This window comes from Homo sapiens, chromosome 16, assembly GCF_000001405.40.
Source record: "Homo sapiens chromosome 16, GRCh38.p14 Primary Assembly".
Taxonomy (NCBI): Eukaryota; Metazoa; Chordata; class Mammalia; order Primates; family Hominidae; genus Homo; species Homo sapiens.
This window is the reverse complement of record NC_000016.10, coordinates 57,278,007-57,295,338: the sequence shown is the minus strand read 5'-3', so window position 1 is coordinate 57,295,338 and position 17,332 is coordinate 57,278,007. Positions and strand designations below refer to the sequence as shown.

The 17,332-nt window shown below is 50.7% G+C and overlaps 1 protein-coding gene across 1 annotated transcript in view, besides 4 other annotated features; it reads left to right on the top strand.

The window, feature by feature from the left end:
• Positions 2,388 to 2,682: a silencer, noted in NCBI's record as "tiled region #5344; K562 Repressive DNase matched - State 9:DNaseU". NCBI's record gives its function as "represses a minimal TATA promoter and a strong SV40 promoter by Sharpr-MPRA in K562 cells {active_cell/tissue: K562}" and the evidence as "EXISTENCE:reporter gene assay evidence [ECO:0000049][PMID:27701403]".
• Positions 8,012 to 8,224: a silencer, noted in NCBI's record as "fragment chr16:57321027-57321239 (GRCh37/hg19 assembly coordinates)". NCBI's record gives its function as "represses an EF-1alpha promoter that drives an FKBP-Casp9 reporter gene in an ReSE screen in phorbol 12-myristate 13-acetate-treated (for megakaryocytic differentiation) K562 erythroleukemia cells {active_cell/tissue: K562(+PMA)}" and the evidence as "EXISTENCE:reporter gene assay evidence [ECO:0000049][PMID:32094911]".
• Positions 10,474 to 10,883: a silencer, noted in NCBI's record as "silent region_7527". NCBI's record gives its function as "represses an Ori minimal core promoter by ATAC-STARR-seq in GM12878 lymphoblastoid cells {active_cell/tissue: GM12878}" and the evidence as "EXISTENCE:reporter gene assay evidence [ECO:0000049][PMID:35858748]".
• PLLP (plasmolipin) overlaps positions 10,667 to 17,332 on the top strand; it is a 28,576-nt gene continuing 21,910 nt past the window's right edge. Inside the window, exon 1 of the mRNA NM_015993.3 lies at positions 10,667 to 10,933. Coding sequence (NP_057077.1) covers positions 10,799 to 10,933 — 135 coding nt within the window. The 5' untranslated portion in view covers positions 10,667 to 10,798. The remainder of the gene's footprint in view (positions 10,934 to 17,332) is intronic.
• Positions 10,928 to 11,589: an enhancer, noted in NCBI's record as "H3K27ac-H3K4me1 hESC enhancer chr16:57317662-57318323 (GRCh37/hg19 assembly coordinates)". NCBI's record gives its function as "activates a minimal SCP1, AML or CMV promoter by ChIP-STARR-seq in primed H9 embryonic stem cells {active_cell/tissue: H9 hESC(primed)}" and the evidence as "EXISTENCE:reporter gene assay evidence [ECO:0000049][PMID:30033119]".

The window sequence follows — 17,332 nt, the reverse complement described above, 5'->3', positions numbered from 1 at the left end:
TATCTGATAAAGCACTTGCATCCAGTTATATCTCAATTATAAGGAGACAACCCAATTTTAAAATGGGCAAAAGCTTTAAAGAGACACTTCAGCAAAGAAGATATATGAATGGCTAATAACCACATGAAAAGATGCCCAACCATCGTTAGTTATTATGGAAATAAACAGTAAAGCCACAATGAGACACTACTGCATACCTATTAGAATGGCTTTTTAAAAAAACTGGCAATACTAAGTATTAGCAAGGATGAGAAGCTACTGCTAGAAGTCTCTCATATATTGCCAATGGGAATGTAAATGGTGAGGCCACTTTGGAAATTTTTTTTTTTTTTTTTTTTGAGACAGGGTCTCCTTCTGTTGCCCAGGCTGGAGTGCAGTGGTGCAATCCCGGCTCACTGCAACCTCCGGCTCCCAGTTGCAAGTGACCCTCCTGCCTCAGTCTCCTGAGTATCTGAGATTATAGGCGCCCACCACCACGCCCAGCTAACTTTTGTATTTTTAGTAGAAACGGGGTTTTGCCATGTTGGCCAGGCTGGTCTCAAACTCCTGACCTCAAGTGATCCACCTGCCCCCGCCTACCAAAGTGCTAGTATTACAGGCTTGAGCCACCGTGCCTGGCCAAACATTGATTCTTTTTTTTTTTTTTTTTTTTTTTGAGACGGAGTCTCGCTCTGTTACCCAGGTTGGAGTGCAGTGGGGCGACCTCGGCTCACTGCAAGCTCCGCCTCCCGGGTTCACGCCATTCTCCTGCCTTAGCCTCCCGAGTAGCTGAACTACAGGCGCGCGCCACCACACCCGGCTATTTTTTTTTTTTTTTTTTTTTGTATTTTTAGTAGAGACGGGGTTTCACCGTGTTAGCCAGGATGGTCTTGATCTCCCGGCCTCGTGATCCGCCCGCCTCGGCCTCCCAAAGTGCTGGGATTACAGGTGTGAGCCACCACGCCCGGCCACTGGAAAACGGTTTTGCAATATCTTTTTTTTTTGAGACGGAGTCTCGCTCTGTGCCCAGGCTGGAGTGCAGTGGCCTGATCTCGGCTCACTGCAAGTTCTGCCTCCCAGGTTCACACCATTCTCCTGCCTCAGCCTCCCGAGTATCTGGGACTACAGGCACCCGCCACCAAGCCCCGCTAATTTTTTATATGTTTAGTAGAGACGGGGTTTCACTGTGTTAGCCAGGATGGTCTCGATCTCCTGACCTTGTGATCCGCCTGCCTCGGCCTCCCAAAGTGCTGGGATTACAGGCGTGAGCCACTGTGCCCGGCCACAATATCTTTTTAAAATTATTATTTGGCTGGGTGAGGTGGCTCATGCCTGTAATCCCAGCACTTTGGGAGGCCAAGGTGGGTGGATCACCTGAGGTCAGAAGTTTGAGACCAGCCTGGCCAACACGGTAAAACCCCATCTTTACTAAAAATACAAAAATTAGCCAGGCTTGGTGGCACACACCTGTAGTCCCAGATACTTGGGAAGCTGAGGCAGGAGAATCCCTTGAATTATTATATGTATATATAATTTTATTTTGTTTTTTAAAAAATAGAGACAGGGTCTCTCTCACTCTGTTGCCCAGGCTGTGTCGAACTTCTGGCCTCAAATGATGCCCTCACCATCATTGGCCTCCGCCTCCCAGAGTGTTGGGATTGGGATTATAGGCATGAACCATTCACACCCAGCCAGTTTCACAATGTCTTATAAAGTAAAACATATTGGCTGGGCTGAGCTCGGTGGATCACACCTATAATCCCAGCACTTTGGGAGGCCGAGGCGAGCAAATCACTGAGCCCTGGAGTTCAAGACCAGTCTGGGCAACATAGGGAGACCCTGTCTCTACTAAAAATACAAAAATTAGCTGAGTGTGGTGGCGCAGGCCTGGAGTCCCAGCTACTCGGGAAGCCAAGGCAGGAGAATTGCTTGAACCCGAGGAGCGGAGGTTGCAGTGAGCTGAGATCGCACCACTGCACTCGAACCTAGAGGACAGACTCCGTCTCAGAAAAAAAAAAAAAAAAGAAAGAAAAAGAAAAGCATAAACAAGGTGGCTGAGTGACACTGCTCACACAACGACAGAGTTCAGGGTTTCCCCAAACCATCCTTAGGTTCCATAATCAGCCAGGACTCACAGAACTCGCTGCAAGCTGTATAACCATAGCTGCAGTTTATTACAGCTGAAGGATATGGATTAAAACCAGCCAAGGGAAATGGTGTATAGGGAAGGGGCTAGGAAAGTTCCAAACCTGGAACCTCCATTATCCTCTCCCTGTGGAATCAGGGACAGCGTTACTTTCCCAGCATCAATGTGTGACAATGTGCACAGACTATTGCCACCCTAGTAAACTCACTGTCTTGGTGTCTAGAGTCTTTATTGAGGTCCCATCATGCAGGCAGGGTTGACTGCCCAGGTGGCAAATCTCAGACTCCAGCTCCTCCTAAGGTCCAGCTATGTGGGTCCATATCTTGTGTCCCAAAGCTTCCACCCTAAGCCACACTGTTCGGTGACCTGCTGCAGCCAGACCCCAGGCTAAACCACATTGTTAGACTATCAGGTGTGGCCAGCTCCACCCTAAACAATGACTATCAGATATGACATTCCAAGGGTTTAGAGGTCAACACCCAGAGGCTGAGCACAAAAGCTAGATCTTGCTGGGTAGGTGGTTCACGCCTGTAATCCCAGCACTTTGGAAAGCCGAGGCAGGCGGATCACGAGGTCAGGAGATTGAGACCATCCTGGCTAACACGATGAAACCCGGTCTCTACTAAAAATACAAAAACTTAGCCGGGCATGGTGGCGGGCGCCTGTAGTCCCAGGCAGGAGAATGGCGTGAACCCGGGAGGCAGAGATTGCAGTGAGCCGAGATCGCGCCACTGCACTCCAGCCTGGGTGACAGAGAGAGACTCTGTCTCAAAAAAAAAAAAAAAAAAAGCCCTCAAAACTAACTAGGAAATGGGGAGATGTAGGTCAAAGGGTACAGAGTGGCAAACATGTAGGATGAAGAAGTGGAAAGACCTAATGTACAGCATGAGGGTTATAGTTAATAACAGTGTGTTGTATTCAGGATCTTTGCTAAATGAGCAGATTATAGCTGCTCTTGCCACAGGGAGGAAAATGGGTACCCATGTGAAATGATGGATATGTTAGTTTGTTTCACTACAGTAACCATTTTACTCTATATGTATCTTACAACATATTGTATATCTTATATATACACAATAAAATGTATTTTAAAAAAAAAGGAACCATTCCCACAGCACCAAGCATAGGGCCAGTTGGAAAAGTACTCAATCAATATTTGTTGACTGCAATCAGCAACTCGTTGAAGTTGGCTTTTGGAAGCTGTTAGATGAACTCCCATGGGAACCTTTCTGTGAATTTCTTAAAATTGTAAAAGGCAGAGTGTGATGGCTCAAGCCTGTGCTCTCAGCTCTTTGGGAGGCCGAGGCAGGATGATTCCCTGAGGCCAGGAGTTCGAGACCATCCTGGGCAACACAGCGAGACCCTGTCTCTACAAAAAATAAAAAAATTAGGCCAGGCGCGGTGGCTCACGCCTGTAATCCCAGCACTTTGGGAGGCCAAGGCGGGTGGATCACGAGGTCAGGAGATCGAGACCATCCTGTCTAACACGGTGAAACCCTGTCTCTACTAAAAATACAAAAAAAAAAAAAAATTAGCTGGGTGTGGTGGCGGGTGCCTGTAGTCCCAGCTAGTCGGGAGGCTGAGGCAGGAGAATTGCTGAGGCAGGAGAAGGAGGTGGAGGTTGCAGTGAGCTGAGATCGTGCCACTGCACTCCAGCCCCGGCGACAGAGGGAGACTCCATCTCAAAAAAAAAAAAAAATTAGGCCTGTCGCCAAGGCGGGTGGACCATAAGGTCAGGAGATCAAGACCATCCTGGCTAACACAGTGAAACCCCATCTCTACTAAAAATACAAAAAAATTAGCCGGGCGTGGTGGCAGGTGCCTGTAGTCCCAGCTACTCTGGAGGCCGAGGCAGGAGAATCACTGGAACCCAGGAGGTGGAGGTTGCAGTGAGCTGAGATTGCGCCATTGCACTCCAGCCTGGGCAACAGAGTAAGAGTCCGTCTCAACAACAAATGGTAAAAATAAGTTAAAAATAAAAATAAAATAAAATAATTAGCTGGGCATGGTGGTACACGCCTATAGTTCTAGCTACTGGGGAAGTAAAACTGGGAGGATCACTCGGGCCCAGGAGTTCAAGACTGCAGAGGGACATGATCATGCGATTGCACTCCAGCCTGGGCATCAGAGTGAGACCCTGTGTCAACAACAATTGTCTTTTTTTTTTTTTTTTGAGACAGAGTTTTGTTCTTGTTGCCCAGGCTGGAGTGCAATGGTGCAGTCTCAGCTCACTGCAACCTCTGCCTCCTGGGTTCAAGTGATTCTCCTGCCTCAGCCTCCCAAGTAGCTGGGATTACAGGCATGCACCACCACACCCGGCTAATTGTTTTGTATTAGTAGAGACAGGGTTTCACCATGTTGGCCAGGCTGGTCTCAAACTCCTGAAATCAGGTGATCCGCCTGCCTTGGCCTCCCAAAGTGCTGGGATTACAGGTGTGAGCCACCACACCCAGCTACAACAACAATTGTAAATCTAATAGTGTAAATCCTTCAGTGGTTTAAGACCCAAGTGATCTGACTCTTGGCTGCCTGTTGAACCTCATCTCTCCCTATCTTCCCAACTCTTATCCCTCGGTGCTTCCTCAGAGATCTCAAAGTCTTCCCTGACTCAGGGCCTTTGCACAGAAGGCAGTTTTCCCTGCCTGCAATGTTCTTCTCCTGTCTGATTCTTGTTCATCCTCCAGGTCTCTGCTAAAATGTTTAGACCTTCCTTGACCCAGTTATCTAAATGACAACTCCCAATCCTCAGAATTACTCTCTCCCCTGGCTCCCTGCCCTTTTTCTGTGGTGACATCATCACTACTGGTGAGTTGCTATTTCTTGGTGGGTTTGTACATCTAGACTGTCTGTCTCCCCCACTAGACTCCTTGAAGGTGGGGGCCCTCATCACAGCTCACAGCTCCATCCCCAGGGCCTGGCACTCCCGAGGCACACACTAAACATCTGCTTCGTGCCTGAACCCCCACTGCTGAGTAGCTGAGTAGCTGGGGCCACAGCTGGGCAGGCCCAGTACGCAGTGGGGATAAGGTCAGAGCAGGGAACTTTTGTAGAACTGGAGAAAACTGAGGCAAGACATGTACTGCAGGTATCCCGTGTGGAGATAGGCTGCTCAGAGCCCGGGAAGGGGAGGCCGGTCCTGGCAGTAGACAGGCTGTCTGTCCCCCCACCCCATCCTAAGAATCCAGGACCCCGTGGCGCCAGCGGAGACTGTGGGTGGGCAGCTGGTTCCAGTCTGGGGACAGGTTCCTTCCCACTTTTTCTGACTGGGGGGCGAGTGAAGTTGGTTTGGGAGAAAATGTCAAAGTGAAAAACAGTGGAGTGATTCAGTCTTTTCAGTCTTGCTTGCTGCCATTTGAAAAGAATGAAAGTGGGATTAACAAAAAAAAAAAAACCCACAAAATCCAAACCAAAACCAAAACAAAAACACCCTACTGTTTTAGAATCTGCCTCAGAAACAATCATCTTTTTGTTTTCTGTGTCACAATAAAATTAAGGGCTCACCCGAGCTTTGTTCTGCACTTGGACTTGTCTGCAGAGAGGCTGGTCTCTGAGTAACAATTTTGCAGCTACCAAGAAGACTCCTCATTTCCAGAGCACCTACTGCAAGTGGGGTGCTGGGACAGGGGAAGGGGCTCAGGTGCATTGAGGGGAGGGGGTTGAACATCCCGTTGAGTAAAGGGTTAAGTCAGCATCAACCAGTGATATTTTTAAAGTGTTCATCAGAGCTTGTCTCTCGCCTGCTTAAAACACTCCAGGCCTTGGCCGGGCGCAGTGGCTCACGTCTGTAATCCCAGCACTTTGGGAGGCCAAAGCAGGCAGATCACGCGGTCAGGAGATCGAGACCATCCTGGCTAACACGGTGAAACTCTATCTCTACTAAAAATACAAAAAATTACCCAGGCGTGGTGGCGGGTGCCGGTAGTCCCAGCTACTCTTTGAGGCTGAGGCAGGAGAATGGCGTGAACCCGGGAGGCAGAGCTTGCAGTGAGCTGAGATCACGCCACTGCACTCCAGCCTGGGCGACAAAGCGAGACTCCGTCTCAAAAAAAAAAAACACTCCAAGCCTTAAAATAAAATGTTAGCCCTTCTCCATCATTGTGGTAGGCTGTATAATTGCCACTAAAAGATGTATCAGTGGCTCATGCACTTTGGGAGGTCAAGGCAGGAGGATTGCTTGAGCTCAAGTTCGAGACCAGCCTGGGCATCATGGTGAAACCCAGTCTTTACAAAAAATTGGTGAGTCATGGTGGCTCAAGGACCTGTGGTCCCAGCTACTCAGGAGGCTGAGGCAGGAGGATTGCTTGAAACCTGGAGGCGGAGGTTGTAGTGAGCCAGGATGGCACCACTGCACTCCAGCCTGGGCAACAGAGTGAGACCCTGTCTCAAACAAACAAACAGAACAGATCCTAATTCTTGGAACCTGTCCATTTTACCTTATAAAGTAAAAAGGTCTTTACAGATTAAGTGACTAAATTAAGATTCTTTTTCTTTTTTTTTCCTTTTGAAACAGGGTCTTGCTCTGTCACCCAGGCTGGAGTGCAGAGGCAAAAACATGGTTCACTGTAACCTCAACCTCCTGGGGCTTAAGCAATCCTCCCACCTCAGCCTCCTAAGTAGCTGGAACCACAGGTGTGCACCGCCACGCCCGGCCAATTTTTTTTTTTTTTTTAGAGACAGGGGTATTTGCTGTGTTGCCCAGGCTGGTCTCAAACTCCTGAGCCAAACCCATCCTCCTGCCTTGGCCTCCCAAAGTGCTAGGTTTACAGGCATGAGCCACTGCGCCCAGCCTCAAATTAAGATTCTTTATTTGAGGAAAACTATTCTGGAGTATCTGGGTGGCCCTAACACAATCACAAGTGTCCTTATAAGAGAGGCAGAGAGAGATGTTATACATACAGAAAAGGAGGAGGCCATGTGACGTAGGAGGCAGAGACAGGGTTGATGCAGTCATAAGTTGAGGAATGCCAGCAGGCCCCACCAGGGTTGGAAGAACAAGGATGGGATTCTCCTCTAGACTCTGCAAAGGGAGCATGACCCTCAGGACACCTGATTTTGGCTCTTCCCAAATTTTGGAAGATTTTGGCTCAGTGAAACTGATTTCAGACTTCTGGCCTCCAGGACTACAGGAGAGTAAATTTCTGGGTTTTCTTTTCTTTTTTTTTTTTTGAGACCGTGTTTCACTCTTGTTGCCCAAGCTAGAGTGCAATGGCTCAATCTCAGCTAACTGCAACCTCCGCCTCCCGGGTTCAAGTGATTCTCCTGCCTCAGCCTCCTGAGTAGCTGGGATTACAGGCGTGTACTACCACGCCCAGCTATTTTTTTGTATTTTTAGTAGAAACAGGGTTTCGCCATGTTGGCCAGGCTGATCTGGAACTCCTGACCTCAGGTGATCCACCTGCCAAAGTGCTGGGATTACAGCCGTGAGCCACCGTGCCTGGCCAAATTTCTGTTGTTTTAAGTCACCAAGTTAGAGCAGCCACAGGGCACTAATACAGTCCTCTAAATAGCCTGTGTGATCCGGCCCTGGCCCGTGTTGCCAATCTCACCCTTACTCACTTGGCTCTAGCCCTACCAAGGACCTTTTTCTGTTCTCAAAACTGGTCCAGCCTCAGGGCTCCTGCACTTATTAAATTCTTCCCCCAGAATTCCCAAGGCTAGCCCCTACTCATGATTTGGGTCTCTGCATAAATGTCACCTCTTCCCACAGGTCTTCCTTGACCACCTTAACCCAGAAATCACCTGTGGGTGACTCTGTGTCACATTCCCCCATTTTACTTTAGTCACAGCGTTTGTCACTATCTGAAAGTATTATTCCTCCCGGGTTTATTACTTCTCATCCCCACCAGACAGTGGGATCCAACGACTGAAATCCTATCATTTGTGGCAACACAGATGAACCTGGAGGACATCATGTGAGTGAAATAAGCCAGGCATAGAAAGACAAACACCACGTGGTCTCTCTCATATGTGGAATGAAATAAAGAAGTTGATCTCGGCCAGGTGCAGTGGCTCACGCCTGTAATCCCAGCACTTTGGGAGGCCAAGACAGGTGGATCACCTGATTTCAGGAGTTTGATACCAGCCTGGCCAACATGGTGAAACCTTGTCTCTACTAAAATTACAAAAAATTAGCTTAGCGTGCTGGCGGGCGCCTGTAATCCGAGCTACTCAGGCAAGAGAATTGCTTGAACCTGGGAGGCGGAGGTTGCAGTGAGCCGAGGTCGCGCCATTGCACTCCAGACTGGGCAACAAGAGCAAAACGCCATCTCAAATAAATAAATAAATAAATTGATCTCATAGTAGAGTAGAATAGTGGTTACAGGAGGCTGGGGTGTAGTGGGAGGATACAAAGAGGTTGGTTAACAGGTACAAAGTTACAGTTAGGGCTGGGCATGGTGGCTCACACCTGTAATTCCAGCACTTTGAAAGGCCAAGGCGGGTGGATCGCTTGAGGCCAGGAGTGCGAAACCAGTCTGGGCAACATGGAGAGACCCCATCTCTACAAAAAAATTTAAAAAAATTAGTCAGGGCTGGGCCCAGTGGCTGATGCCTGTAATCCCAGCCCTTTGGGAGGCCAAGGTGGGCGGATCACAAGACCAGCCTGGCCAACATGGTGAAACCCAGTCTCTATTACAGATACAAAAAATTAGCTGGGCATGGTGGCTCGAGCCTGTAATTCCAGCAAGACTCCATCTCAAAAAAAAAAAAAAATTAGTTGGGCATGGTGGCGTGCACCTGTAGTCCTAGCTACTAGGGAGGCTGAGGTGAGAAGATCACTTGAGCCTAGGGGTTGGAGGCTGCAGTAGGCTATGATCATGCCACTGCCCTCCAGCCTGGGTGACAGAGTGGGACCTCGCCTCAAAATAAATAAAAGTAAAAAGAAAAAAATACCAATATTGTACATTTCTTTTCTTTTTTTGTTTTTGTTTTTAGATGGAGTCTGGCTCTGTCACCCAGGCTGGAGTGCAGTGGCATGATTTCAGCTCACTGCAACCTCTGCCTCCCTGGGTTCGAGTGATTCTCCTGTCTCAGCCTCCTGTGTAGCTGGGACTACAGGCACCCACCATCATGCCTGGCTAATTTTTTTGTATTTTTGTAGAGACAGGGTTTTGCCATGTTGACCAGGCTGGTCTCAAACTCATGACCTCTGGTGATCTGCCTGCCTTGGCCTCCCAAAGTGCTGGGATTATAGGCGTGAGCCACAGCGCCTGGCCCTAATATTGTATATTTCAAAATATGGTAGCTAGAAGTGGGGATTTTGAATGTTCTCACCCCAAAGAAGCCATAAATGTATGAGGTGATGGATATGCTAAGTACCTTGATTTGATTTTTTTACACAACGTACACAGGTACCAAAACATCACATGGTACCCCATATTTAGGTACAATTATAGGTTGCCGAAAAAGTAATTGCGGTTTTTGCTATACTTTTATATGCAAAAACCGTATAACTTTTGCACCAACCTAATATTACATGTCAGTTAAAAACAATTTTTTAAGTGGCTCTCTTTTTAAGTGGGTATTTGGGAAAAAAAAAATGTGGGAGCCAAGAAGGCCTTGTCTACTTCGTTTCCTGCTGTATCCACAGGGCCTGGCATGTAGTAGGTGTTCAGCAAACATTGGTTGATGAATGCATGATGACCTATCTGTGCAAACCTCTAGGCTCAAGAGGTGTGTGTGTGTGTGTAAGTATTTTAGGGTGCATGTGTGGCAATGAAACTGTATATGACCTCCCATCTTCTGAGTGACCCCTCCTCCCTCACGCTGTCAGGAGCTTTCTGGGGAATATTTCATTTATTCCCTACAACGCTCTGTGAGGCAGGTTTCCTTCGTATCTATATGACAGACGAGGAAACTGAGGCTCCGCGATCATCTAAGTTATATAAAATATGTTCAGAAGTGAAAACAGCATTAATAGGCAGAAAAGGACCTCCCCCTTCTACCGCTTACCCACCGCTTACCCAGACCCTCCCCTTCCCCGCGCTGGGTCTCCCAGGATTCTTCTTTACTTTCTTTTCTATAAAATACAGACGGGGGGAGGGGGGGCGTCTCACTGTGTTACCCAGGCTGGTCTCGAACTCTTGGCCTGAAATTATCCTTTCACCTTAGCCTCCCAAAGTGCTGCGATCAGAGGCAGGAGCCACCGCATCCAGCCTTCTCCCGGGACTCTTCAAGAGTCGCTGCGCCGGGGCCTAGGCCGAGGGTGCACAGCGCGTAGAAAGCGCCTGGGAGAGCGGTGTCCCCCGCGAGCTACCACAAGTTTATCCCTAGGCGCGGAAGCTACCACGGCCTGGGCGAGAGCCGGGAAATTCCCAGCGGGCGGCTTGCCCCGGGGGAGGCCGGCGAAGCGGTCTAGGCTGGTGCTGGCGGAGCCGATTCACGGACCCGGGGTTGTTTACTGGTCCGGGGAGTGGACGCGGCTGCCCACGAACCGGTCGCGGCTGGGGCGGCGGCGGCGAGCAAAGGGTTAAGGGGGCGGCCCCGGCGGCGGGGGCGGAGCCGGGATCTCGGCCGCACCTGGCGCCCCAGGCTCCCAGCCCCGACGCCTCCTGCAGCGCCTGGAGCCACACAGGGATCCGGAGCCTGGGGGAAAAGCGGCGCGGGAGCCGGCACCCACCGCTGGAGGGGCGGCGACGGCGGCCGTAGCGACCTCGGGAGGCAAGCGGAGCCGCCATGGCCGAGTTCCCGTCGAAAGTTAGCACGCGGACCAGCAGTCCTGCGCAGGGCGCCGAAGCCTCGGTGTCGGCGCTGCGCCCGGACCTGGGCTTCGTGCGCTCCCGCCTCGGGGCGCTCATGCTGCTGCAGCTGGTGAGAGCACGCGCGGGCCCACGGGGTTGGCCGGGGGCTCCCGGTCCGGCCAGGATGGGTGAGGGACTCCGGCGCTGCGTTCATTTTTCGCGAACCTTGCGCTCCCCACCCGGGCTCACACTGTCACCGACGCGCTGCGCGTACCCCTAGGGCGCTTCCCGCACGGACGCCCCCAAGATCGCCCTGCATCCCTCTCACCACGACACTACCCCGTGGCCGTCGCTGCGAGCGTGAGCACCCTGCACCGTGTACAGAGTGCCCACTGCCCGTGCCCCATCGTGCCCCCTCCAAGGTGGTTACCAGCGGCCACAGAAGCCCCCACCGGAGCCACAGTCACTGCGCACAACCCGCCAACCCTTCCCAGCCCTCCCTTCCCTCCTCTCTCTTTTTCACCCCTCTTTCTGCCCGGACAGTGCCCCCAGCCCTCTAGGGAACCCAGTCTGAGGCAAAGTCCACTCTCTGACCACCTTCTGTCCCGCTCCCAGCGGCTCCGGGTGGCCGCACCCATGAACATTCCTCATCTAATCTAGAGGGCACATCCGACTCCCCAACACGCACACTCAGGCACTACCCTGTGGGCGCCCGCGCGGGAGCCGGGCTCTTCTAGCTTTCTCTGGGTGACCCGCCAGGTTTCAGCCGGTTTAGCCAGCCCCACGGGACCGAGATATCGCTGGAGGGAGGGGTTTGTGGGTAGCCAGGGGCAAGACTCCTACTCTCTCCCAGACCCCTGTACAGACCCCAACTGAGGCGGACCCATGGGAACATCCTCCACTCCCACACCAGCCACAGGCCCGGATGTTAGCTTCTTCCTCTGCCACCCTTTCGTGAGGGTCTGGAAGCTGGGTGGGTGCCCTGGGTGGGTGAGGGCCTGATACATTTTCAGAGGACTCAGGTGGAATTGGAGTTGGGCCAGGACCTGTATTTCTTAGCAATCCAGCGAGTGGACATTTCCCATTGTCTCCTATTGCTGGGTGCTAGCGCTGCTGCGAGGCCCAAGCTAGAGGGCAGGGTGGTTGCTTTGGTGCCAGACCCTGGGCTGAGGTCCAGTCTCCCTTCCCTGACCTCTCCAGGTGCGGGCCCACCTCTACCTGGGTCAGTGCTATCTCATTTCAGGATTTCTCAGATCTCTGTGGGCCCCCTCCCCAACCTCTGAATCTCCTGGCGGGTTTGTTTAAAATTTAGATTATTGGACTCCACCCCCGGAAAAAAATGTGCAATCGGAATTTGAATCTCAGGAAGTACAGCCAGAAATTCATTTTTAACAGTTCTCCCAGAGTTTTTTGTTTGTTTCTCTTTTGGGGGGTGGGGGAGAAGGGGAGAAGATTCTGTCTTCTGAGGGAAGAGGTCTAGTTCCTGGAATCATTTAATTCTGCAGATGGGGAGAGCCACTGACCCCGCCACCGCTAGAATGCTCTGCTCTGGGCTGGTTGTGAGGGGCACAGCCATGAGCAGCTGCCTGGCTGCCCAGGGGAGAGCCAGGTGGGTGTGAGAAGTGGTGCGAAAGGGCAGAGGAGAAGGAGAGCAATTTCACGACCAGGAAGGCTTGTTGGAGGAGGTGGTTTTTGAGCAGAGACTTCACTGAAATCTGAGGCAGACGCAGGGAAAGGGTGTTCCAAGGGCAGGGAACAGTGTGAGCCAAGATGTGGTGATGAGAAAGTTGAATTAATTTGCAGGGAGTAGCCAACAGGTTGGTGGTGCTGGAGTTGAAGCACTTGTTTCTGGTGTGGACAGAAGCCAAGGGCCTTGTGTAACTTCTGCGAGCTACAGGGTCTAGGTTCTGTTGGTGGCCTTAAGAGGTTTTGGAACAGAAGAGGGATCTTGCTGGGTGGAGGATGATGACTGGCAAGATCCCTGTGAGGGATCCCTCAGCATCCCTGGTGAGGTGGATCCTGAGGCTGGCCCCTGATGGACAGGAGGATTGCTTGTGGCCAGAAGTTCAAGACCAGCCTGGGCAACATATTGAGACCCTGTCTCTACAAAAAAAAGGAAAAAAAAAATAGCCAGGCATGGTGGTATGCGCCTGTGGTCTCAGCTACTTGGGAGGCTGAGGTAGGAGGACCCCTTGTGCCTGGGAGTTTGAGGCTACAGTGACTTTGATCGCACCACTGCACTCCAGCCTGGGTGACAGAATGAGACTTTGTCTCAAACAGACAAACACACACACAAAAAAAAAAAAAGAAAAGAAAAAAGAAAGAGACTAGCAATAGGGGCAATAGGGGGAATGGAAGGCATTGGAGTAAGAGGAGGATGTTGCTGCTGTGGGCCGCAAGGGTCTTGGTAGCTTCCTCTAGGGCAGGCTTGTGTTCCTGATTGGGGTTGGGATGGGTGGGGGCATCCCCTGTGGCCTCAGCAATCCAGCCCTGCGCATCTGGGTCCCATTACACAGACGTAGACATTGAGGTCTAGTTAGAAGGACTTGCCAGGAGTCCTGTAATAGAGCTTGGCACTTGGGTCTCTTGACTCTCAGGGACTGGGTGTGAGGGAAGTGGGCTCCTTTTGCTCCCTACCTGCAGTGCCTTTGAGGGGATGAGGGTCTTCCATCAGAGTTCTGAAAATGACCTGCACATTTTAGTGCCTTAGAAATCTGCTTGTTGGGGCCAGGTGTGGTGGCTCACGCCTGTAATCCCAGCACTTTGGGAGGCCGAGGTGGGCAGATCACGAGGTCAGGAGACGGAGACCATCCCGGCTAACAGGGTGAAACCCCATCTCTACTAAAAATACAACAAAATTAGCCTGGCATGGTGGTGGGTGCCTGCAGTCCCAGCTACTCGGGAGGCTGAGGCGGGAGAATGGCGTGAACCCGGGAGGTGGAGCTTGCAGTGAGCCGAGATGGCGCCACGGCACTCCAGCCTGGGAGACAGAAAGAGACTCCGTCTCAAAAAAAAAAAGAAATAAAAAAAAAATCTGCTTGTTGGAGAAGCTGCATCCTGAGCTGTTTCTCTGGCAACAGGTAGTTCCACTGGGTCTGAAATGGGATATGTGGGGGTTAATCCAACAGGCACCACCATCTGCTGGGAAGCCATGGTAGCTCCCATCTATCAGGCCAGCACTAGGCTCAGGCCCTTTGCCAAGGCCTTTAGATCTTCTTAGTCGGCCCCATTTTAGGTGAGAAAACTGAGGCTCAGAGGCCAGTTCTTTGCCCAAGATCTCACAGCCCTCCTCCACAGGAGTGATTTTTCTGACTTTTCTGGCCTATGGTCTTAATGACCACGTGTGGCTTTGCTGCTACCTTCCCAGGATCTGTCATTATGGAGGGAGTGGTGGGGACCCTGGGCCCACAGCCTGCTTTCCAGGAGCTCTTGGTCAGTGAGAGAGGTGCCCAGAGGATGTGCTTCTCCCAGAGGGATCAGAGAAGGCTGCATGGAGCAGGAAATAAATGAGAAAATGGAAGCTAATTCTCCATCAAACCCTTCTGTTTCCCAGGATTTGATGAATGTTCCTGGTATGGTGGGAGGAAGGGGAGGTGGGTAGAAAGGCTCCCAGCTCCTGGAGAAGGAGATACACTTTTCATTCGGTATCAGAATGTGTCCTGAAGAACCAATCTCAGTATTCTTCACAGATGTCTGGTGGTGTTCATTGATTTATCACTATCGTTATTCCTTGTAGATTCAGAAAGAACACCAGATGGAATATGATATTAAACCACATAAGACAGAAGAGTTAAAGCGATGTATCTTTAAAAGCTGGTGGTGTGGAGGGGAGAATTGACTTGCAGCAAGTTTAAGGCTGTTGATTATTTGTTGAACTTCCTAGCAGCCTAGGCAAAAAGGGAAACATGAAGAATCTATGCAGATAGCGTCTAAAAAAGGAGGCAGGTCTTTGTTTTGTTTTGTTTTGTTTTCTCTTGCCAATGGATTCATGTCACAAGGCAGGCAAGTTTGATCTACAGATAACTCTTTTGGTTTTAAAAAAAAAAGGCATCAGTGCTACAGATTTTTGTGTAGCTCAGGTGGAAGAATGCAGAAGGCGTGGTTATTTGCTTATGGGGAGCTCCCAAAGCCTTTTTACAATAAGTATAAAGTAGTGCTGTTAGGTGCCCATCTCTCATTTTTTCAAGCCTCCCCAAGCCGTGGGGAGAAGGATGATCTTATCTGGATTTACTGATAAGTAAATAGGCTCCGAGAGGGTGAGGAACTTGTCCAAGGTCACACAGGATAGAGTGGCAAGCTTGGCTTTGCACTTCGATCTGGAAATCCAAAACCTGGCTCTAGCTATGCTTCCTCATCTTGTTTACTTTGGGGGTGGGAAGTTCTAGAGTGCTTTCTAGGGGGAAAAGGGGGACTGCAGGAAGGGAGACTCATCAGGGGCCAAGGCCATCAGGGAGGGCTTCCTGGCATAGGAAGGGAGAAGGAGGATCAGGACAGACCAGAGCTTGTACAGAGACCTGTCAGTCAGTAGGCGTCCTTGAGGCCCAGGATGTGGAAGCTGTGTGAATGCCCTGTGGCGGTAAGGCCATTTGGTTTGGTACCTTCTGTCCTTCCATTTTGCCCCACCTCCTGGGATTGGGGGTGGCCACACAATTCCCACTTTGCAGGTGAATAACAGATCAAAAGCCTCACCTAGCTAGGCAGGTGGCAGGGTGGCACATGCCTGTAGTTCCAGCTACTTGGGAGGCTGAGGTAGGAAGATTGCTTGAGCCTTGGAGTTTAAGGCTGCAGTAAGCCATGATCACGTCACTGCACTCTAGCCTGGGTGACAGAGTAAGACCCCTACTTTTTTTTTTTTTTCCTCGAGACAAGGTCTTGCTCTGTCACCCAGGCTGGACTATAGTAGTGTGATCACAGCTCACTGCAACCTCAACCTCCCAGGCTCAGACGATCCTCCCACTTCAGGCCTCCTGAGTATCTGGGACGACAGGTACATGCCACAATGCCTGGCTAAGTTTTTATATTTTTTGTAAAGATGGGATTTCATCATGTTACCCAGACTGGTCTCGAACTCCTGGGCTCCAGCAATCCACCTGCCTTGGCCTCCCAAAGTGCTGAGATTACAGGTGTGAGCCACTGTACCCAGTCCTCTACTCTTAACAAAAAAAAAAAAAAAGGAAGAAGAAGAAGAGAAGCCTTCCCTAGATCTCCATGATCCATGGGGTGGCATGGAGAGTGCTGATGGGAACACAGGCCTGGACGCTGAGAGCCTTGGGTTCAAATCCTGGCTCTGTCCCTTTCTGGCTGCATGATCCTGGGGGAGTTCCCAAATTTCCCTGAGCCTCACTTCCTTGTCTGTCAGATGGTGATGGCAGGATCTAGATCATGCCTGCAAAGAGCTAGCCTAGCACTATATGTGGGAATGAAGGACAGTTTGGATTCACAGGGTTATAGGATCCGAGGGTTCTTATGCAAGCATAAGAGGTGCCTTTGCAGCATCTCCAACATGAACTTGCATGCTTCCAGAGACAGGGAGCTCAGTTCTTCTTAAGGCTGCCTGCTCCATCCTTGGGCACTTGGGAGTGTTGGAAAGTTCTTCCTTATGGTGATACCGGCTCTGTCTCCGGCCCCAGGAGGCAGACCAGCTCCTCTGCAGATGAAGGGCAGGGCAGGGACTGAAAGCCAACTCTGGTCTCCAGGAAGGGGCTACCTAGATGAGATTGTTGGAGTCCGAGTGAGGTGTGAGCAGGGCTTGGTCACACTCGGATTGCAATGTCTGAGACTCCCGGGGCTTCCCTTAGCACTGAGATTTGTGGGTGGTTCAGTCTTTTTAGTACAGCATTCCAGGCCCCGCATGCCCAATATCTTCATCCAACCCAGCTCCACTGCACAGAGCAATAAATGCCTTGTATTGTTAGTTCCCCCCACACTCCCCACTTACTGCAAGGGGGGGAGTATTGAGTGTTTGGGAATTAATGTGTAATTACATTATGAATATATGAATACATTCTCCTCACAAAATAAAAAAACCTGTACAGATTACACTAAAGCTGTAGTTGGATTACCCACCTCTGTCCCTAAGGGGACAACTATTTGGGGTGTTTCTAGTCTTTTTTCCTGTGCACTTTTGAAAACATTGATAGTTTTATTCTGTATCCTTTGTTCAGCAAGTTGCTTTTCTCATACTTGGTGCATCTGAGAGCTCTTCTTGTGCTCTGTCATCCAGGCTGGAGTGCAGCGGCGTAATCTCAGCTCACTGCAACCTCCGCCTCCCGGGTTCACGCCATTCTCCTGCCTCAGCCTCCCGAATAGCTGGGACTACAGGTGCCTGCCACTACACCCAACTCATTATTGTATTTTTAGTAGAGACGGGGCTTCACCATGTTGGCCAGGCTGGTCTTGAACTCTTGACCTCAGGTGATCTGCCTGTCTCTGCCTCCCAAAGTGCTGGGATTACAGGCATGAGCCACCGTGCCTGGCCACTCTTCATGTTTTGAGACTTGTCTTCCTTCCTTGTAAACTGTTGTGGAGT